The sequence below is a fragment of the Homo sapiens genome, chromosome 20 (assembly GCF_000001405.40).
Source record: "Homo sapiens chromosome 20, GRCh38.p14 Primary Assembly".
Taxonomy (NCBI): Eukaryota; Metazoa; Chordata; class Mammalia; order Primates; family Hominidae; genus Homo; species Homo sapiens.
The window spans coordinates 15,538,108-15,562,332 of NC_000020.11; the positions used below are offsets into that span (position 1 = coordinate 15,538,108).

A 24,225-nucleotide genomic window follows, 5' to 3' on the forward strand; every position below is an offset into this window, starting at 1 on the left:
GAGACTTCTTATAGGGAACTATTGCAGTTTTCCACGAAGGAAAAAGAAAAACAACTTAAAAAAACTACCTAAACTATCAATTTTATCATCCATTCACCCATTTGCTGAACATTTACTGAGTGCCTACAATGTACATGTCAGATACTGGGCTGGGTGCTGAGACAATAAAGGACTCTATTTGGAAAATGAAAGGAAGGGGATAGATTTTAAAGGGGTCTAGGGGTAGAATCAATAGGACCCACTAAACAATTTGAGATGTAAAAGACGGGCTTCAAAAGGAATCTAAGATTTCTTGCTCAATGACCAAATAGAGGGTGATTCTATTAACCCCTTTTTAGAACTTCAGGAAGAGTAGCAAGTCAGAACAAAAGGTGGAGAGCTCAAGTTGAACATGTGGAGTTTGAGATGCTCATCAGATTTCCAGATGAATCAACTGGTTCAATCACAGTTTTTGAAATGAAGCATCATTGTTCAGTGCAAATCTTCCAGGGGAATTCAAATGTTAGATACAGAGAAGTAGAGACTGAGAAGAGAGCAAGGCCCATTTAAAAATATAAAAGTTTAGTTTTAAAAATGCTGTCTTTTTGACCTTTACAATGTGCATATTTTGAATGAGAGTAAGCAAAAACAATTGATTTTTTTGTAAAGAAATGCTGAAGAAATACATTCATCAATACTGTAGTTTGAATATAAAGAAAATCAGAATATTTATAAATAGGAATATAAATAATATAGCACTCTTATTGGATAGCAATGGATTAAATGGGTATTTGCTACTCTACTGCTTTTTTTTGAGCTGATTATAATTATATGAAATATATTTTAGGGCATGCAATTATAACTGTATGGGCATACCTAATAAATAATATGTCTATATCGCATAAAGTATAAATTATAAATATATATGAACTATATAAAAATATACTTTAGTCACTTAAAACACATAATAGAACATTTTATTCTGTTTTTTCATCTTTTTTTCTGAGTACGTAACTCTTGCACTTGTCCCTTTCAGGCAATGCTTAAGAATGTATGTAACCAACAAATACAATGATAAATGTCTTTTGCAGCAAGCTTCAAAATCTCAAGAGATGTAGGGGCAGCATAAAACTCTAACCAGATAAATCCATGGTATATTGTCTGAGCCAAATGCTTTCTCTAAAATGAGAGAGATTCAAATCAGTGACAAGAAGGAGCATGTGGGGCTTAAGCTGACTGTAGGAGGACACAGGTGTGCTTCAGCACCACAAATGAACGCAGAATTATCTAAGAACACCTTGCCTTGCCAGCTATTTAATATCACATGAAACGGGCCAAGAATGCAGTGATATTGAAACACCAATGCCAGTATTGTTTTTCCTGTGTCTATTCCAGCAATTGCTTCTTTGTTATTGTTGTTCAATGAGGTGTTATTTCAATACTGAAGTAGAATTCATTAAAGTAAGGTTTGAGTGGAGATATTTTCACTGGTTGATTGGTTAAACTGAGGTTTCTTTTTGCCTCTCTAGTTATCCAGTGTATTGACAGCCATATTTTAACAAGAAAAAAATTTTGACTTCACACATTCACTCAGTAAATAACTACTTAGAAGGTTCTTGAGCCGGGCACGGTGGCTCATGCCTGTTATCCCAGCACTTTGGGAGGCCAAGGCAGGTGGATCATGAGGTCAGGAGATCGAGACCATCCTGGCTAACACGGTGAAACTCTGTCTCTACTAAAAAATACAAAAAATTAGCCAGGCATGGTGGCAGGCGCCTGTAGTCCCAGCTACTTGGGAGACTGAGGCAGGAGAATGGCGTGAACCCGGGAGGCGGAGCTTGAAGTGAGCCAAGATCGTGCCACTGCACTCCAGCCTGGGCGACAGAGCGAGACTCCATCTCAAAAAACAAAGAAGGTACTTGATGGACAACACTCTCTAGACTTAGGTAGAGCGATAAAGTGATGACCAACTTACAGCTGAAGGGGAATTCCACATGTTGGGCATAGAGAAGAGTAGGTAAAGGTATAGGGATGACAGAGACCATGGTTGCTCAGATAATGACAAACAGCTGAGCATGGCTGGGTGCATGAACTAAAATATTGCTTGAATGTGGGGAAGTAGGATGGTGGGTTGCATAACTGGTAAGGAGCAAACCGTGACTAGCCTTAAATGTCAATCTACAGAGTTAAGATTTCCAAATTCATTAGGACATGTATCCTACAGTGTGCAAGGATTTTTACTAAAGGAATGACATGGCCAGATTTGCCATTTGGAAAGCTGACCCCGGCCATCGTGTGGAGGATAGTTTGGATGGTGAGGCAAGGAATCAGAAGAGAAGGAAGTGTGGCCAAGGAAGAGACTCTTGTAGCAATTCAAATGAGAATACTGAACACTGAACCAAGGACAAGACTTTGAATGTGGAAGCAGGGGAACCACATAAGACAAATCTCAAACTTGGATGCTGGGGATGAAGGATAAGGGAAAATCCCAGGTCAATTGGGTTGATGGAGTGTATATTGGTTTGCTAAGGCTTCTGTAACAAAGTGCACAAATTGAGCAGCTTAAACAATAGAAACAATAGAAATGTACTGCCTCACAGTACTGGAGGCTGGCAGTCTAAACTCAAGGTATCGGCAGGGTTCCTTCTTTTTGAGGGCTGTGAGAATAGAGTCGGTTCCATCACTTTCTCCTGACTTCTGGCAGTTTGTTGACAGTCTTTCATATCCCTTCGTTCTAGAAGCATCAGCCCAATCTCCTGCCTTCATCTTCACTGTGAGTTCTCCCTGTGTGCACATCTGTATCCAAATTTCTCCTTTTCTAGAGATGCCGTTCATATTGGACTAGAGGCCCACCTTACTGTATCATGACTTCATCATAAGTAATTACATCAGTGGTGAGACCCTATTTGCAAATCAGGTCACATTCTGAGGTACTGTGGTTTAGGTCTTCAAGGCAGGGATTTTTAGAGATACAATTCAATCCACAACAGGGTACTACTCGTGGAAACAGAGAATACACAAAGATAAACCAGTGTTTGTGGGAGGAAATTATTAATGCATCATTGGTTATGCTGAGTTTGAGGTACTAAGGGTTCATGCAAATAGCAAATATTTCTGGGACTGGACTTAAACAATTCTAGAACATAGAAACCAGCATCTCTCAAAAAAGAGAGGCCTTGGGTACACTGCCTACTATAATCTCTTTTATTTGTCTTTTTTGAATTTAAAAAGTATTTAAATTATATTAGCAGAGGAACAGAAATTTAGATATTGCCTGGAAATTTTAAAAATCAGAAGGAAAGGGCCAAGTAGAAAAAATAGGAGACTCTTCCCAGATGAATTTCAACAGCTTGGTATTCGTGTGATGAGTTGTGATTAACAGGCAAGCAGGCCAAACGTGGTTAATAGAGCTGGGTCTTTGAGTTTTCTTTAGAAAATGTTGATTCTATAATATAAGTGACACATCTCCATACGCCCCAAAGCAGCATCTGGTTTGATATTGAGGTTTCACCTAACAGTTTTCTTCAGAAAACTGGAACATTTGGCCAATTTCTTAATATATTAATTTTAATAGATTTTCTGTTTCTAATGAAAACATTCTTGTGAAAACATTTGTTTTTCATATGCATAACTCCTTATTGCCCAATATACATAGGACCTTATATATGGTAGATGCTAAATACATCCAGTTGCTGGATGACTGTTGTGTAAATGTTTGGGACACAACCTTTGAAAAGAATCTCAATAGCCCATAACTCCATGTAGCATACAGGCGCTCATATAATGCTCTCCCTTCCCCACTACACCACATGGGAATGTTATGGTTGCTAAGAAGCACAAATGATGCCACCAAATAAGTCTAACTTGGGTGCCAAGTCTGTTCTTCCAGTGGTATGGGCACTATCTTTAGGCAGAGGCATCCAGTAACAGTTGGAAAGAAACCCGTGTGACTGCGACCTGTACAATGCATGCAGGTGACAGTCTTCTCTGTGCCTCTAAATGTGACAGGCATCTTGGGGTTATACAAAAAAAAGTATATCAGATAGTGCCTTCTATGGAGACAGTCAAAAGCTAAGATTGTTGGAGTCAGATCGACATCTTCATATCCCAGCTCAGCCAGCTCTCGGGCTGTGTGACCCTGAGTGAGTCAGGAGCTTTCTCAGGTTCAACTTCTTTATAATGTGGAAATTGTAATAACATTACCTTTTAGGGTTATTGTGAGCACAATGATTGTATAGAGATTAAGGCACATAAAGAAGTTCACAATAGTAGATATGGTTGTCAAAATTATCATCATAATTATACCAGAGACCTGAGGTTCCTGTGTACTTCATGAATCTATTAAGAAACCATTCCAGAAAGTAGGACCAGTGGGAGATGACCATAATAGCCATCGATATTGCAAATGGAGAGGGGCAAATATGGGTGCTTCTGTGATCTGGGAGGGGCCTTGGAAGGAGGTAAGGCTTCAGTGGCCTTCAAAGATAGAGTCTTAAAAGAAGATTGAAAGGACAGAATAAAAATGTACTGTCTGAACTCCACTATTTCAAACACTTGACTGATCTTTGACTTCTCTGAAACCTGTTCCTTAACACAATTTCTGAAGAAGGATTGGTTCTCACAATATTTACTATTGTAAGCTTCATCAAACAGCCAAGTGATTTCTTTAAAAATAGGGGTTTTGACCTTTGCCTTTCCCTGGCTGGGAACTTAATCATCATTCTTTGGCCATAATAGGCCAACTCTATTTGTGGGCCTAGGACTTGATATTGGAGATCACGTGACATCCTTGTCCACGTCCTACGCAGCACAACTTGTCAAACCAGAGCAGATGGCTCTTCCGAGTCTACCCCACTGGCAGAGGGTGAGGACGTGGGAAATGAAGAGGTCCTTTACAGCCTGGGCTTCTGGGTTGCTATGCCTGTCAAGCAGCAAATTATGATAAAAAGGGCCATGCAAAATTTAACATTTTTTTAATCTCTTGAGAACTGACTACAATGTTTACTCTTTTCTGGAGCTTCCCGGAATGTTTTATATAAAACTTTTGCTACTAAAATCCTTTGGAGTTTTAGAATGATGATGGGAAGTATAGCAGAGTTTAAGTTTTGGTTTGAGTCCACTAAACCAGGTTCAAATGTATCAGTTGTGTGTCCCTGAGCATGTTACTTAACTTTTCTAAGTGTCAGTTTCCTCATCTGTTCAAGAGGAATGGATAATAAGGCCCTACTCGTAAGATTATAGTGAATATTAAGGATACAGTTGTATACTGCAAAAGGCTTTTGATACATGATAGAATAGGCCCTCAATAAACTCTAGTTATTGTTATTTTAATGGTGCCACACACAGGTGATCAAGGTTTCAGTGCCACAACCATTGAAAGCTTGGAGTCCCAATGCCAGTAATGTCATTTTTAAATTTTCAAGTCATGACAGCAGAATGGTGAGATGTTCTGCTACAGAGAATAGAAACTTTTAGAAATGGTTTCCTTCCAAGCAATGAGGTAAACCTCCTCTTAAAAAAAAAAAAAATCTTAGTTTTCCATTGTTACAATTTCAAGCAGTGGCTTAAAACAGTAAGCACTTGCAAATTATGTGGCTAAACACAGTAGGCACTTTTTGGCATGTGAATCTATGGGACTATAGTTCAGGCCAAATGGCTCTGCTAGCCTCAGCTGTGTCTGGAAGTCAGCTGGTCATTGACTGACTAAGGCTAGGTCTGGCCAGGCCAACTATATTTGTTTCACCTGTCTTTTATCCGTTTCCCTGGGACAAGCCAGCCTGCCTGGACATGTTCTTCTCATGGTAGAGGTATAAGATAGAGCAAGTCCCCAAAGCAATCACCCAAATGCTTTGCTAGACTGCTTACATCACATCTGCTAGCATCTCATTGGCCAAAGCAAGTCACATGGCTGAGCACAGCATCAAGGGGCAGGGGAGGTGACTCTCACACTGTGGGGAAGTACAGTAAAGTCCCTGAGGGAAAGGATGTGGATACAGAGTCGGGGAAGAAGAGGGAGCATCATGTGATCTACCTCAGCTTTAGAGTAACCGATAGCCAAGGGGCCATCACCTCACAGCGTCTAGACTCTGGGAAACAGACTTTTGCCCTAGTATTGATTCTTTGCCTGGAGTCGTATCATTTGCTTTAGTACCTGGCTATGGCGTTAATAATAATAGCACAGCAGAAAGGTTCAGTGATTCTTGTATAGCTACAGACTGAGCTTTATAAAATAACCTGGATGCTTATTTTAAGAATATAGACTCTGACAGTAGCAAGAATTTTTCTCAATTGTTTTGAAAAGGTTCTCACCTATTGAACAGCTAGGATGAGGAGGGTTGATTAGAATTTTCAGTGCATGCTCTGAATTATGCCATGGAGACATGTGCAAGACTAATTTGTTTGTAGCAACAGAGAAGCCAATCATGATTAGATTTCCTGGCATGTTATTCACCTGCGAGGAGAGTCAGACTTGTGTCCAAGAATCTCAATGTGAATTTGGTCATAACTACATCCATACAGTGCTGGAGGGTTTGATAAGCTCTAGGTGTCCAAGCATGCTCTTCTAGAACTTAACTGACTTCTGCATGCACGCCAGCCTTCCTAGTGTAACTTAGGGCAGAGCTATGTTTTACTTAGTTGCTATTGTCTTTGTATTTTATTTAATTATTATTAGGTAAATAACAGCTATCTGGAAGTGAAAAAGTCAACCATGATGGCTGATTTTTAGAGAAAATATATCTTGCTTTTACCCTCTGACTTCTAGCCCTTCAGTTCCTTGGGGAAATACTTGAACTCACTGAGCAGCGGTGGGGTCACAGTCTGGGCTTGTATGCCCTCATTTCCAGGCCGCATTCCTCAGAGGGGCCCTGAGTACTTTGGGAGCTGATAGAGTTTGGCTGTCATTTGAAAATGTTTTCCTGCTAAATGTTTTCATTTAGAAGCTAATTTATACTCTGCTTTCAAGTAAGCTTAACTCCATTTCACATCCCTGACATGTAGCACACACTGCAGTGACTGGGATGGAAGTAGACAATTCAATCAAAGGATGATTTCTCCGTGGAGGAAATGAATATTATTTGTTCATCTTGCAATTCAGAATTCTGAGAAAATTATGATGTTTGGCAAAGGCACTGGCAAGACAGAAAGACAAATAAATTGCATGGTGTGAGAACAGCCTTCTTAATATGAAGGTTTCCTTAAAACAGTGGGTATTGGCTGCAGGCAAAATATTAAGCTGCAAATCACTGGTTTGCAACTTCTTGATCATCGGTTGTAATCCCAAGAACATATTTAATTTCATATTTAGTCCTAATTTCTTTTTGTTCCGTAATGATATTTCTGTCACTCAAAATAAGCCATCTGTTGGCAGCAGCCCACAGGAAACAGATACTGCACACTCAGTAATCTTGGAGTGAGTCTGTTGCATTGTGAGAATGAAAAACGGGCCTCTTCAGAATCATAGGGTCACCTTTAAAATTCCTAATTTTTCTTTTTGTCTTCTCTTTGGCCATATGTAGTAGTGGAAATAAATCTTGTTTCATTGTCTTTTCTGAGATGTTTGTGACCAGAGGTCAGTGCTTTGGACTCGAGGATTAGAGAGTTTCCAGCTCTGCTTGGAGATGCATTTCCCATTTTTTTAACCCTCTATTTAATCAATACCTAGCTTTGCCATATTTTCAAGAAAAAATATACCTGGAAGTATTGACCAGAAATCAAGCCTATGGCAAAAGAATGCCTTCCATTTGAAGGTTATGAGATGGAGGGCAGGATGTAAGACAGGGAGCACCATGATGTGAGGAGTGGGCAGAATTTGATAAATTGACATTATCTCCATCTAGTCTTTGACCACGCGTATTTGAACAGAATTCCAAATGGAAAGAAGAGACAGCTGGGCACGATGGCTCATGCCTGTCATCCCAGCACTTTGGGAGGACAAGGTGGATCACCTGAGGTCAGGAGTTCAAGACCAGCCCGACCAACATGGTGAAACCCCGTCTAAAAATACAAAATTAGCCAAGCGTGGTGATGCATGCCTGCAATCTCAGCTACTTGGGAGGCTGAGGCAGGAGAATTGCTTGAACCTGGGAAGCGGAGGTTGCAGTGAACCGAGATTGCACCATTGCACTCCAGCCTGGGCAACAAGAGCAAAACTCCATCTCAAAAAAAAGAGACTCTGACCATGACTTCACATGATAGCTAACACTTCTTGAACGTCTGCAGAGACTGTGCTAAATGACTGTAAATGGATTTTCTCCTTTATTCCTCTCAACAACCCCAGCAAGTTTCTCATAATATTATTTGCATTGTAAGGATGAGAAAACAGTCTCAGAGCTCCATAGCTATTAAGTGATAGAATCTTGATGTGACAGCCAGGGCAGCTTGATTTCAAGATATCTCAATACTGAAGTTAAAACTTGGAATGGGTTAAAAATGAAGTTGTTCTATCCATCATGCCTGCAGAAAACCTCCTAAGAATAAAGAAAATAATTCAGATTCACATAAAAGAAAATGTTAGAGATATTGAAATGGACACTCAAAGCACATCAATGCAAAGGTGAGGGAGACAGAGGAGCTTTTGATCTTCCCTTTTGTTCCCTCATGTTTTGAAACATGCTTCCTTTTGATGCCAGCTCTTTAGAGGTTGCTGCACTCAAGCTTTAGATGACTCTTCTATCTCCCAGAGCAATTAAAAGGTAATGTCACTATTTTACCACGTGACGCTTGACATCTGATTCATATATCACTCAGCCTGAAGGCATATTTTTCATACTCACTTGGGTGCATGTCAAGCAGTGAATTGATCTCTTTTAGGATTCAAAAGGAATCCCCTTTTCCAAAGGAGATTCTGGTGAGTGAACAAAATGAATGTCCCTATTACTTCCCATCTCCTTTAATTAGCAAGCCAGAGAGCTAACAATTATCTCACCTGTCAGCTCTCTTGACAGCTTGCTGTTGAATCGGAACCAAAGAGAGATCACCTGCCCCAATTTCAAACCCCAGCAATTGATATCAAAGTCTCCACCACCCAAGGTCTACTTAAAGCCCATTAGTGTGGCCTTCACTATATTTCAGTTTCAGTTACCTCAAACCAATATCTCAGATTATTCCTCCTTCCATCATGGATATTCTGACTCATAAATGTCAGTACATGGTGGAGGTTGCCTCATCTCACAAATTTCCACTGTCAAAATATTCTCAGCAGTACTAGACAGATGGAACCAATCCAGGGAGCAAAACAAATGCTACCCCAGCTTTTGGCGCACTCCAAATGTAGCGGTACTAGCTGTTCTTATCTCATAATATGCCTATCGCCATCATTTTTTCCCCTAACAATCTGTCCATGATGACAAGTTCTATTCCATGTTCTTGATGAGGGATCATGTCTCTAAGCCATATGTTGTAACTGGAAGACTAGCCCAGTTGTTGCCTTTACGTTTTTAAATAAGTGGAATAATACCGCTCATATTACCTTCCATTATCTTAGTACTTATCTCAGTCTGGTTCTGTATCCTCATCATTTCCCTGACTGAGAAAACTAAAGAATAATGTGTAATGTGATCGCAAATTTGTAAGATGGAATAAAGCATTTAGTCGTTCTCCTCTGCCAAATTTTTTGATTCCCATTTTCAGAGGATGATTTGTCTCCTGCCATAAGTGGACATGGTGCCACTGAGCATGTAGCAGGACCGAGCAGCTGGCCAAGACAGATGGATTCCTGTGTTGATCTAGTGAAGTTTCACCTTTGTAAATCTTCCTTGCTTTCTCATGCCTATTAAGCGATCTTCATCTCAGAACAGCCTCTTTGCCCTGGTTTTACCCTCTCTAGTAATTGTGTCTCAGTGAACTGTGGTTTTAGTACAAGTACCCTATGAAAGATGTTTGCAACTCTGGTCATAGTTGGGAAGTCACCACATACTATGCTTTGGATTCATCCAAATAACCCTTCTCTCATTGCCATCTATCTATATCCATTTACTTATCCATCCCTATCCCCCTCCCTTCCTCCATCCATTCATCCATCCACCATCCATCTGTCCACCTATCTGGTCATTTAATATTTCTTTTGGAAACAGTTTTGGAACTTAGCTTTACCTTGTGATCTGATTATATGAAATTAATCTAGCCTTTTCTGATTTATCTAGGAAAGACCTTCTTTTTCAGAGTTCTAATTAAGGGTTTGAAATGCCACAGTTAAAACATAGTGATTTTAAAACATATCATAAATTCTCTAACACTCCTCCCTTTGAGAGGAGGAGTCTGTGTTCCCTCCCCTTGAATCGGGGCCAAACTTAGAGATGTGCTTTTTTTTGTTTTGTTTTGTTTTTTGAGATGGAATCTCACTCTGTCACCCCAGGCTGGAGTGCAGTGGCGCACTCTCGGCTCACTGCAACCTCCACCCCAAGGGTTCAAGCGATTCTTCTGCCTCAGCTTCCCGAGTACCTGGGATTTCAGGCACCTGCCACCACGCCTGGCTAATTTTTGTATTTTTAGTAGAGATGGGGTTTTATCATCTTGGCCAGGCTGGTCCTGAACTCCTGACCTTGTGATCCACCCACCTTGGCCTCCCAAAGTGCTGGGATTACAGGTGTGAGCCACTGCACCCGGCCAGTGATGTGCTTTTTACTAATAGAATTAAGCAGAAGTAGGGCTATGAAATTCCAAGCTAGGTCAGTAAAGGCCATACTATCCTTGGTTCTCATGAGTTACCTTCCTTGGGGGAAGTCAGCCACCATGTAAAACGTTATACTACTCTGAGACCACCATGCAGGAGAAGAGATACATAGACTCTCTGACCAACTGTCCAGCTGAGCTCCCAGCCAATAGCCAGCATCAACTCTCAGTCCGGGATGTGAGCCATCTTGGACATCCAGATCAGTCAAGCCTCAAAGGATTTCAGCTCCAGCTGACTTCTTACTTCATCCTCATGAGAAACCCCAGGCAAAAACTGCCCAGTCAAGCCCTTCAGACTACAACTGGGCCCTGAATCCATCATCCTCAAAATTGTAAGATAGTAAGATAGTTGTTGTAACTGCTAAGTTTTGGGTTAATTTGTTATGCAGCAATAATAGCAGAAATAAAAACAATATATGACTGAGTTACTTAGCACTTCAAGGGAAAGCCTACCATTTTGTTTTATAGAAATGGGCTAATTCTTCTTCTAGTTTTCACCTTTCTGTTTTAAACTATAGCTTGTCTTGCAAGCTTTGCTGCTAGAGATTGAGGTAGAAATGGATCTAGAAACTATGGCTGTATGTCAATTTCATTTCCTCAAAGGATCATATATTTTATGCAGATATGGAGAGAATATCTAAGCTGCAAGAGTTTGGAGGTGAATAGAAGAAAAATAGAAGATTTTGTAGGTTATCCACATCAATCTATATACTCCTAGTTTAGGTTCTCATATTGTGTTATATACCAAATGTATACATCTCTTGATGACTGGATACTTTGTGAGGCCTTCTGTTAGTCTTTGGATAATGTATAATTCAACACAGACAGAGGTTTTATTTTGACCCTTAAGTCTCACCTCCAGGGAGGGAAGAGAAGCCTTCACATTGCTGTCACAATTCTCCAGATGGTCCTAAAAGGAGCTCACTTTTCTTGTCTGCCCCAGTCCCAGTCGTCATATCCTATAATCGAAGCAGCTTCCTCTTGCATCTTCCTAAATTACCACTTAGCATATTCCCTGACTGTGGGCATATTCAGTCAGGGAACATGTTAACTCAAACCAAATATTGTCTGTGCATTTTCTATCTATGTGCATATCAACCTTTTTTTTTTCAGCGCTATCTGAACATTAAGCATTAAGTTTGCGACATTGCTGCTTCATTCCAAATGCGACATATATACCCTAAGAAAAAGGACATTTTCTTATATAAGCACAAGAGCAGTATCATACTCAAGAAACTTGGCATTAATACAGTAATATATCTAACATTCAGTTTATATTCAGATTTCCCCAGTTGACCCAATGATGTTTTCTGGTTTTGTTTTTGTTAATAGAGTATCTTTATTAATACAGTATCTAATGCATCACATTTACTTGTCAGATCTCTTTATCATCCTGTAATCTAGAAAAGTTTCTCCATCTATTTTGGAGTGGTGTTTGGTAAAATTAACATTTTTAGAGAATTCATACCCACTGTTTTATTATTTAAAATAAGAAATATTTAAATAAATATTTAAAATAAGAAATATTTAAATAAATATTTAAAATAAGAAATATTTAAATAAATATTTAAAATAAGAAATATTTATTATTCAGATAAAAATGTGTCTTATTATTTCTTCCTGATTAAATTCAGATTATGAATTTGGGGTAGGAATATTTATAGATGATATTATTCCTTTCCAGTATATCCCATCAGGAGATACTTATCATCAGTTAGTCCCATTATTTGTAATTAAAAGTTTGATTCCGTTACCAGGATGGTGTCCTCCATATTTTTTATTGTATCACTTTTTTATTCCATATTTTTTCATTTTAATAGTTTATGAGCAATCAAGAAGTGACACTCTGACACTGTGCAAATATTCAGTTCCCCAACCAGTTTTCATACTATGGTTTTCACATCCACTGATGAGTCTCACCTGAGTCAACCATTATATTGATGGCTGCAAACTGATGACCTTCTAATCCTGTTCCCTGCCGGGGTAGCACAACAGGCACTGGGCTAAATGATTGTACATGGATTTTCTCCTTTATTCCTCTCAACAACCCCAGCAATTTCTCATAATATTATTTGCATTGTAAGGATGAGAAAACAGTCTCAGAGCTCCATAGCTATTAAATATCAGAATCTTGATGTGACAGCCAGGGCAGCTTGATTTCAAGGTATCTCAATACTGAAGTGAAAATTTGGAATGGGTTAAAAATGAAGCTGTTTTATCCAGCGTGCCTGCAGAAAACCTCTTAAGAATAAAGAAAATAATTCAGATTCACTTAAAAGAAAGTGTTAGAGATACTGAAATGTCCTATGTCCCCATTCCATGTGGGTGTAGGGAAGGAGATAGGCAATGTGAAGCCAGGGAGGGCTGTGGAGGTTCAGCTGCTCCATTTATAGGCTTTCAACAGATCGCCCTGTTTTCAGCCCTAAGCCTTACCCCTTTGCTTAGGGCTACTGGGTATCTCCACTTCAGAATCCTCTACAGAGTTCCCTGGCAACAGTCAACACACTCTGACTACTTCTCAGCAGGCTCTCCTATTTCAGTTCTTCTTCCTTACTATCTGTTATCTCTCATTTAATATTTAAAAAAAAAAAAAAACTACATCTCTTGTCTTTTGTCACCTCGTTTTTCATTCTCTTTGTGGGCTTTTATTTATTTATTTATCATATTATTATTTTACCATAACTTTAGTGGACTTTCAGAAGGGACCGAAGAGAAAAAACATGTACTAAAACATGTGCTCACGTTTTGTGTATGTTGGTATTTTTATTCTTCAGTTTTACAGATGCGTGCCTTACATTTCTACTCACATCATGTTGTTTCATGTAGCAGAATATTTTCAGGCTGGGCGCGGTGGCTCACGCCTGTAATCTCAACACTTTGGGAGGCCAAGGCGGGTGCATCAGGAGTTAGAGACCAGCCTGGGCAACATGGCGGAACCCCGTCTCTACAAAAAATAAAAACTTAGCCGGATGTGATGGTGTGGGCCTGTGGTCCCAGCTGCTTTGGAGGCTGAGGCAGGAGGATTAGTTGAGCCTGAGGAGGTCAAGGCTGCAGTGAGCGGAACTAGCATCCCTGCACTCCAGCCTGGCAGACAGAGTGAGACCCTGCCTCAAAAAAAAAAAAAAAAAAGAATATTTTATTTCTGTGTAAACAGATTATTATTCCTTTTTTATTTATGATAATTATATAAGCACTTATTACTTTCATATAAGGAGAAAATCTTCTTCAAATTTTTATATGCATACATTTTTTTCTTCAAGGAAATCTATGATTAAGCCTCTTTTATAAAAAGGTATGCTTTATGAATTAATTAGAGCTAGGGAAGTTAGGTAAGTATATGGAGTAGGAACACATGTTTTCCTCCCCTCCTCATAGGTTTCTAGAAGTTCTTCTCTTTTTTGGAAGACAGAGGAATTATCACTGCCTTGCCAGAAGTAGCATCTGGGCCTTTGGTGTATTCTTCAGCTTGTTTATTGACAGCTTGTAAACGTGCATAGATGTTCACAGTCTTTCTTTAGTTTTCTTGACCATTCTGAAATCTTTAAATGATCTTTTCCTGTCCATGGCCCTTTTAGTCATCACCAAACTAGATCTGGTCCTCAGAGAATCCTGATTTCTTGAAAATCTCTCATTATTCCGCAATACTCCAATCTGCTATTAAGTGAATACTAGAAACAAAGTGGTAGGCACTCAGGATGTTAGGTTTTGGGGTGTTTTTGTTTTTAATGCTGTATGTGAAGGTGTGCATGGCAGTTGATAAGGATGCCTACTCTGTTTCCCTTGGCCCAGCTGAGTTTACCTGCAGCCTTCATGGACAGTTCCCAGATAACACAGACAGCTTCCATGTCAAAAACCTCCATCTCCCACTCCTTTCCTGGGGACTTCTACAGTGCCATGGTAGTTTTACTCAGTTCTGGTGAATAGCAGCCTAGAAGTGACAAGAATTTAATGCCTCCAAGGGCATCCCTTAATCAATATGGGAGAAGATTCACTGAATAAATAATCTGGTATCTCAGTCCCTCATTGGCACTGTTTTAAGAATGTCCTATATGAGTCCTCAGAAAAAATCTGAGCCTCAGTTGCCTACATGGGTTACCCTCTCGTTAAAACTCCTCTTATTGGATTTCTCCCTTCTCAGTTGCCTTTCCTATCACCTCCCCTGTTCTTCCTGGGATCATCCCAAATAAACTAACTGAATCCAAGTCTTTGTCTCAGGGTCTGCTTTTGAGGGAACTCAAACTAAGACAATTACAAAGACTAAAAATTTCCAGAGAAAGTGTAATTATATGTTGTTGGAAATTTACTCTGCTGAGGGGAAGTGCACAGGAAATTATTCTTTTTAGATCTATTAACAGGCAACTGGTAAATTTATGTTATAAATAACATGGTAATTTACTCAAAAATTTCTGGAACCCCTACTAGGTGCCAGGCTTTCTGCTAGGGACTGAGAACACACGAGTCGACAAAATAAACATAACCCATCCCTCTCCATCATAGAGCTTAGATTCTAATGGTGATATGGACAAATCATGTCAATTATAATTCAGATTGGGGCATGCTATGCTAGAGGAAGTCCCATTACTGCAGGAATACATAGGGTCAGAAAGACTGTGTTCACCCCTGTTTCTCAACATCTAGCACAAAACCTGGCATATGATGGGTATTTGTTTGTTTATTTGTTCGAGATAGAGTCTCACTCTGTCACCCAGGCTGGAATGCAGTGGTGGTGATAGCTCACTGCAACCTCTGCCTCTGGGGCTTGAGCGATCTCCTACCTCAGCCTCCCAAGTAGCTGGGACTACAGGCACACACCACCATGCCCAGCTAATTTTTGTAATTTTTAGTAGAGTTGGGGTTCCACCATGTTGCCCAGGCCAGTCCTGAACTCCTAAGATCAAGCGATCCACCTGCCTCAGCCTCCCAAAATTCCAGGATTACAGGCATGCTGGGCACATTGTGGACGTGCCCGGCCACCTTGGGTATTTTGGAAGTATTTATTGAGTAAAAGAAGCATATTCAAGAATGAGTTTATATTCAAAGAATTGCAAAAAAAGATCAATGTCCTACAGAATAAAGCAGATAGAGGCACGGACAAGAATCAGGACTTGTAGGCCGTTGAATACTGTTTAGGCCTGGAGACTTCATCTGAAGAGTTACAGCAGACAAGAAGCAGAGAAATTTTAGGCATTAGGACAGATTCAGTTTAGCAGTTTCACATGGCCACTCTGCAGACACTAGGAAGAATGGATCAAAGCCAGCAAAACAGGGATCAGAAAAATAAGGGAGAGGGCTATGCTGTAATCCACATGAGAAATAATGGCAAGAATGGCAATGGAGATGTGGAGGCATGGCTGGACTGGAAAGAGATGTAGGAGTTAGAATAGATGAGGCTTAGTACTTATTTGGTATGAGAAGTGGCATAGAGAGAGACAGTGCTAATATTGCCCACAGTTCTGATCAGCACAGCTAAATCTGGGGCTATAGGAGGAAGAGTAAATCTAATGGTGAAGGTGAAGAGAGAGGAATTTGCTCCGGTATAGTGCTTAAAGAAGGAAGGCAGTTTTGGCAGAGTTGTTTTGTATTACATTTCTCTCTGCCCACAAAGGACTCTTTATTTATCAAAAAGATAAATCTAAAATATGTCACTTGAATATAGCTAGATAATTTATAGCCTTGTAAATCTGAATGGACTTCACCTTAGATAAAAACTTGGTATGTTAACTTTTCCATCAAATAAGTTTCATATTTTTGGCTTTAGAACCTATACATCATGGTAGTCCTATTTGGCCAAAAAAAAAAAAAAAGAAATATCAAATTATATAATATTCATTTTCTTAAACAAAACATGGTTATATAACTTGTATGCTTAGGACTATTGTTTGTTGGAATGATTTAATGAACTAGATTATGGCCCTTTAGGTGCAGTTTATTATTTTTAAATTTCTTCTTTTGGAAATGTGAGGAAGGGTAGGAAGGTTAAATGGAACTGAAGTAGCAAGCTGGGCCATTTAAGGAGGGCATGAGTTTAAATTCTGAACGCTGAATAAAAATGTCCTAAAATACCTTCATTTGGAAGGAAATGACTTTAGCTGTTTAGCCTTGGAGGGAATAAACAGCTACATGCATACTAATCTTCTGAACCCTGTGCTATGTTCATAGCCTTATCTTTTATTCATTTCAAACCATACAAATCTTTAAGGGAGAGAAACCCCTGCTTCTTGCAGCATTGCAACTAAAATGCAGATGCTACATTTCTATCAGTGGAATTTGAGTTATTCTTGATTTTATACCTTAGGATATAGCAAATCTCTAAAGACAGAGTGTAAAGGGGTATGAGTGTGTCTATTAATGGGGGAAGAAGGAGTGTGTGAAGGGGATCCCAGTGGGTGGGTGAGGAGGGAGTGAGAGGCGGCCAGGGGTGGAAGCTTACACAAGAGCCAACTGCAGCCCTGTGGTAGAGAAGCCCTCCTATTCTCTGATATCTATTTCCCAATCAGAATAATGACCAATTCCAGTCCCTCTTTTGGAATAGGGATGTGGAGAGTCATAATGGGATTTGAAAGCTGTCCTGCTTGTAGACTATCATTTGAACTTGACATTTTCACTTGAGTGCCTTCTTCTTGCAACTAGTTTACGGTTTTATCAATACAGTTTAATACACTTTTAAAGCCATACTTCTGGCATGATCTAGCATTTTCCAGGAAAATAAAAGAGGCACATACTGTAACTGTTGATCATGGGGAGTGATGGATGGGTTCTGCCCTCTGCTAGTGCAAAACATATCACTGAAAGTCTAGAGGAACAGGTAAGGGGTTGATAGTTGGGACAATGAATTTTGAAAGATACTCTGAGCTTATCTCATTTATCTAAAAAATGACATTAGAAATAACCAGCACAACACGGTGAAACCCCATCTCTACTAAAATACAAAAAATTAGCTAGGCACCTGTAGTCCCAGCTACTCGGGAGGCTGAGGCAGGAGAATTGCTTGAACCTGGAAGGCGGAGGTTGCAGTGAGCCAAGATTGCGCCACTGCACTCCAGCCTGGGTGACAGACTGAGACTCCATCTCAAAAAAAAAAAAAAAAAAAAAAAAAAGGAAAAGAAAAGAAAAGGAAAGAACCATAAATTAACTGGGATTGAAAGTGTGTGTGACATTTATATCATGGCATAATCTCCAAATGAAGAACATGTTTATTTGATTTGGGGATAGCTTACTCAGGATTCGTTGCCTGATCTTTATTTCTCTCAGGTCCTAAATGGGACTCTTTGGAACTCATGCATTCCTGACTTATTCAGACCTGCTTCTGAACCATGCTTGGCTCAGTAAAGCAGAGAGGCTTAGAGAAGGAAAATTAAAATGGGTCATATGCATCTGTGTCCTCTTTGAGGCATGTCACAAAAACAGCCATTCTGGGAACACTGTAAACAGTTTTACCCATCTGTCTAGTTTAATCTATTTGGGGATTAAACCTTCTGGCTTCTCAGAGTACAGGGTTGTGTGAGAGGCTCGTTCATTTATGATATGTGTTTCTGGAATGCTGGTTACACCAATATAAATGATGGATTTAGGGCACTGTGTTTACTTAAAGAATCATGGATCTCTTGATTTATACTAAGACATCTGGTTTTTTTTTTCCCAAAATCTTTGCTTAAACTGAAGCTGTTTATCCACTGATAAAATAACCTCTGTGTATTCATGGTGCCCAGTTGTTGGTAACTAGCAATTATATACTACTTTCTAAAATAGTTTTGGTTAAATGGCATGCATGATTTGTAGTAATGAAGTTCTTCAATGATAAAAATATTGGAAGAGACCCATTTGAATTTTAGCTCTTATATGTTACAATGTACTTCACACTGGCTGTGTGCTTAGTATTCATGTTTTAGAAAATAAGAAAAGCATTTGGGAGATATTACCAAAAAGAATCACTGCCTCTGTTTCTGTTTATCCTGTGATTACAGTTTTCTTATTAAGAACAAATGTGGGTATAAACTCAATACATTGTGGGATTCCTCTCTGGTCAATGGACCCTCACTGTGTTCTGACTTCTCTCTCTTTCTTGATTGATGGTAATTTGCTACAGTGAACTTGAATCCAGACTTCAGTGTAAGATTGATGTGTGTTAGGAAAAAGGGAAGAACTCTTGCCCTTAGAATCAGTTTCCAACTTTATTTACTGTTTGGGGCTTTTTCCATGAATTTCAATTTTACCTATCTAGGACCCATATTAGCTTGACCATTGCAAGTAGGGAGGGCTCCAATCAGTCATACAGCCATGGATTGATGAGTCATACAATCATAATTAAAGAGGAATTGGCAGCAACATAAAATTCATATGCAAATAATTGTGCTGATTCATCATTGCAGTAAAATTCACTTCTCTGCATTTCTTCATTCAAAAAGCCACATTCAACGGGGCACTCCATTTTAAGTAGGCAAATTTGGAGATTCCTTAAAAAAAAAAAAAAAATGTTTTCCTTAGGAACAATTCTGTTTAGTAAAATTTAGCCCAGGCTATAAAATACAGGCTAGGACAAGATACGGGTTAGGACCTCTACTTTCTCTTCATTCTTTGATTAGGTAGTTTTACAGTTCCTGATTCTATTACTTAGATATAACATGTAGAAGAATATCTACACTTCAGATGCAGAGAGAGAAAAAAATAAAAGGGGTACCCCACAAGAAGAAACAGCAAACACACACACCAAAGACAAGAAATGTAAGCATAATCTTTTGTTTTTTCCCCTGACACACAGATTTAGCAAGCTTACCATTGGCCCCTTGGGTCATCCCCAAACCAGAGCTTTAAAAATCTGTGGTTACCTGAGACCCTAGAGCTAAGTCAGACATTCTAGGACCTAAGCCAAAGGGCCAATAGAAACTTTAGCCCAAGTAATGGTCACACATGTTTACTATAGAGAGCAAACTGAATTGGTCTCAGAGTTTATCTTTCTGAACTCATGATGGAACACAGAGAGTACAGAAGGGGGAATTGGGCTTAATTTGGTGCAGCTGTTAGAATATCCCCTGGTCTCTGAGCTATTTGTTTGTCTTACTGAACTCCAGCAGATTACCATTGTCGGGCAATCTGGCACATTTTGCTCCTTTGTTCATCCCCAGCCATGTTATGTAGGAGTCATCAACTTCCCCCTCATAAAGACGACCACTCAGAAAGCACTTTCAACTGGGACAAACTCACATAGTAATAATCTAATGTGTGGCTACTATATGTTAGGCACTGTAATACGCTTTACTCAAATCTCAATCAATCTCTACCCAATTCTATGTGGTAAGCATAACTAAGATATAAAAAGATGACAAGAGTCAGAAATCAGGTAAGACACTCAGGGTTTCTCTACTATCGTGTCAATGGAAATTCATTAGATCCTGGCCCAAAGCAATCAAGCCCATCTTGGGCTGCCCGTGTACTTTGGCTCTAGCCAGACTATGAGCACTTCACCACCACTAAAGACCTCAGTGGCCATTCCATTCTGATTATCCTGCTGACTTCTTGCCTACTGTGCTCTCTTCAGGACCACTCTGCCCCAGCTGCCAAACTTTCAATCTGTGGCCTGAGCCACCCCAGCACCTTCCCTCCTGCACTGAAATCCTCAGGCATTTCTATTAGGTTGTTGCAAAAGTAATAGCGGGTTTTGCTATTACTTTCAATGGCAAAAAACACAATTACTTTTGCACCAACCTAATGCTTTGTCCCACACTGGCCTGCAGAGAACAGCCTCTAAAACACTTGCCAAAGGTGCTGGGGTTCCCCCAACCCACATCTTGGTGAAGGGGCTCATTTTGGCTACATTGAAACGTGGTTTCATATGTTTCATATGAAACCAGTGTGTTATTATTTTTCCCCCTTTCCCTTATCTTTTAGTGGCCTCACCAGAATTTGAAAAGTTATATTCCTTTGATAACATAACTCTTCCTCCCATTGGCTGAGCTCAAGAAGTGTTGGTTAGGAAAGAAAACTTCAGGCAGCCCACTGAATTCTAACTCTGTGTCTGAAATTCTTTCCTACATTAAAAATGTTACTGAAGCCCTGATAGTATCATTTCTTTGATATGTGTATATGTATTTCTTATAAAGAAAAGATTAGTTTAAGTGACTATCAAAATTAAACATTTTGTTGAATTATTGCAAAACTCTGACTGAACCATTTAGTTATGCTACTAGGATCACATTTTCCTTTTTGTATAATGCATTAAAGATTCTCACTTTGGGAGGCCGAGACGGGCGGATCACGAGGTCAGGAGATCGAGACCATCCTAGCTAACATGGTGAAACCCCGTCTCTACTAAAAATACAAAAATTAGCTGGGCATGGTGGCGCACGCCTGTAGTCCCAGCTACACGGGAGGCTGAGGCAGGAGAATGGCGTGAACCCGGGAGGTGGAGCTTGCAGTGAGTCGAGATCGCGCCACTGCACTCCAGCCTGGGCGACAGAGCGAAACTCCGTCTCAAAAAAAAAAAAAAAAAAAAAAAAAAGATTCTCAGGCTGACTATCACATGTGTGGATGAAGGTAAGAGCCTAGAACAATTAGATAACAAGAGTGAATAAAATATTAAATAAAGAATAGTCATGATTAAATCAATCTCTGGAGTAGGATCACTAAATGCATCAAACAAATGTTAGTTGAGTAAAATAGAATCATTGTTATTTTTGAGTTTAAATATTGAAATCGCAATCTTATTTAAGACCAAAGTAGGTTTACATTTGCTCCATCTCCTCACCCATTTCCCATATTCTTGCCACCCCATAAAATGAGAACTTCTGTCAACCCTTGGAAGAATTGAGGACAAAGAGCTGAATTCTCTCCATTGTTCTCTGACTTCTCTCATGGGAAGAGAGATGACGGGTTGAGTGGCAAGAGCCTGACAACCATTGGTCCATGTTCTTCTGCTGAGTAAAATCAGTGCATTAAGCATCACTGCGCATGTACAGTCACTCTTCTTGGGCTCACAGTGGTCAATAAGGGGTGAGGAGATGGAATTTTCTATGAAGTTCTCTGCCTGTCTGTCCTGAAAACCCAATTCTCAACAATCTATAGGTCCAAGTTATAAACATGGAGTCAATGGATAGAAAGACTTCTGACCTTGTGTTCAAGCTACATTTTGCAATCCAGTCTTCCAAATTAGAAGGCTGATGTTTTCATCTCTGACTCTTGCACATATTTTTAATTCATCCATGGTTTGGAAGTTAGAGAGTTATGATGGTTTATTATTCTCAAACTGCAATACTTTTTATTTAGTTCATCAAAATTAAAGACACCACAGCCATAATCCATGTCACTTTCTGCCTCAAATCTCAAGATTTTGACCAAAACATATGGCTATGGTGGTCTCTTCTAGTTTAAAAGGGCAACCATGTTTTCCTATCATTTTATGCCTGTTCGCCTATTTGTGGCTGGCTAAAGAATTGTGAAAGTAAGAGACATTGTGTTGGAGTAAAATTAGGAGACCCAAATTTGACTCCCATCTCTACCAGTTAACTACCTGAGGAAATTTAGGTGAGTTTCTTAATCTCTGTACTACTCAGGTCACTCATTTGTAAAATAAGAAGAATAAAAATTACTTTGTAAAATTATAGTATATTATCTGAATATGATAAGATGATAAAACAATTATTAAAAAGAAAAGATGTAATGCTAGTGCTAGATGCTGGGGGGATTTTGCCATTGAAAAATAACCTGGAAATAAGTCAAGACTGATCATGGGCTGAGTTCAATGACTCATGCCTATAATCCCAGCATTTGAGAGGCTGAGGTAGGCAAGATAACTTGAGGTCAGGAGTTTGAGACCAGCCTGGCCAACATGGTTAAAACCTCACCTCCACTAAAAATACAAAATTAGCCAGTCATGGTGGTGTGTGCCTGTAATCCCAGTGACTCGGGAGGCTGAGGCAGGAGAATCACTTGAATCTGGAAGGCAGAGGTTGCAGCAGGACTAGATTGCACCACTGCACTCCAGCCTGGGCCACAGGGCATAACAAAGTCTCAAAAAAAAAAAAAAAAAAAAAAAAAAAAAGACTGATCATAGTCTTTCTGTATAGGTCAATTTTTTTTTCCATTCTTGGACACATAATTTTGCTTTAGGTGGTCTGGTTTATGTCTAAAACAGAAGGGGAATGGGTTGAGTAAAGGGGAAAGAATAAACTAAATGATCAAAGTCAACTTGTTTCCAGATGTCTAGATCTAAAAGGCCACAAAAGAGCTCTTACTTAAATTATTTGCCCAAACAAAGGAGAAATTTTAAAGATCCCAAGAGGATGTGGCATTAAGACAGACACTGTGATACTCTTGGTGTAGTCAGGGAACATCAGAAGCTCATACTTCCTGACATGGAGGCAGTGAGTATTGTAAGAGAACGCTACTCAATGACATCATTCATGGTCTTTTCACAGCCTTCACCTCCTTTGCCTCAATATCCTTATTCTTCAAAGTGTTGGTAAATTGGGCTTGCTGTCATTACGCATTTTATTGGAATAAGCATGAATTATGCAATTAGCTTTCTCGCTTTCCAGCAGCATATGCAAAGTGAACCAGAAAGATAAGAGAAAATCTTTTCCTCAGGATCTGTAGATTAGTTCAGCTTTTGGAATTTTGCTGGCAATTTGTAGTGATGTTGTCATTTTGACTACTCAACAGCTAAGTTTCACATTTTGGGCTGAATCTGGCTGGGTAGGGTGGTTACTTGCTTTGATGTTCTTGGAGATTCTCTATGTTGCTTGGTACTACTAGGCTAAAATGTAATACTGTTCTGTCTGTGCTACCTAAAACCAGTATGTTTGGGGCCTCATCTGCCTTCAGTAGGGTATTTTCCTTTATCCTTCGTGAAAATCAATTTTTTTTTAAATGAATGAATGAGAGAGATGAAATGAGAAGGAGAAAAATGGTTAGGGTAGATTTTTTAAGCAGTGCCTTTGGCTTTTGTTATTTTATGCTAAGTTATTTATCAGTAATTATCATTAGACAAGCTATACTGGGGTGAAAAGCTGCTGCTTTTTCTTCCGTAGCCATGTGAACCCTGGGGCGTGCCGAGGGAATTAAAATAAGAACAGAGCACACTGCTGTTTTATCTCAGCTACTGCAACATCTCTGCTTGACACCCTGTGTTGAACAAGAGACTATTTAGTAGATCTCAACAATTATGCATGTACTTTCCTGGCAGAGAACTCTTTGCTGCTTTGTTTGTCAAGATTATGTTGAATCAGCATAAAAATCAGGCCTGACTTATTTCTGGAAGGAAGCAGCCTCTCTCGTACCATTGGAAACAATATGATCATAATAAAGTTTTGCATATAGAACATTTCTTTTGAGTGTAGACAACAACTTATTCTTGTAAAGAATTTAACATTTAAGTCTCATATTTCCATACTTATTTCTATTGGGACTGCTGCCTACTGCCCCACCCCCATCCCCCACCAGCCAGCCTTAGTTTTTGGTATATTTCTAGCTCTGTCCATCTTGGAGCAGCTACGTGAGGATTTTACAGCTGTCTTTGTTTCTGATGGAATCCTAACCCTTTTGTGATGTGGGGCCTTCATATAAGTATGTGATGTGGAAAAT

At 39.5% G+C, this 24,225-nt stretch overlaps 1 protein-coding gene across 5 annotated transcripts in view, besides 1 other annotated feature; it reads left to right on the forward strand.

The window, feature by feature from the left end:
- Window positions 1-24,225, forward strand: part of MACROD2 (mono-ADP ribosylhydrolase 2) — a 2,057,682-nt gene that overhangs the window by 1,542,592 nt on the left and 490,865 nt on the right. The gene's annotated exons all lie outside the window — the stretch shown is intronic.
- Window positions 23,496-24,038: an enhancer, noted in NCBI's record as "OCT4-NANOG hESC enhancer chr20:15542248-15542790 (GRCh37/hg19 assembly coordinates)". NCBI's record gives its function as "activates a minimal SCP1, AML or CMV promoter by ChIP-STARR-seq in naive H9 embryonic stem cells {active_cell/tissue: H9 hESC(naive)}" and the evidence as "EXISTENCE:reporter gene assay evidence [ECO:0000049][PMID:30033119]".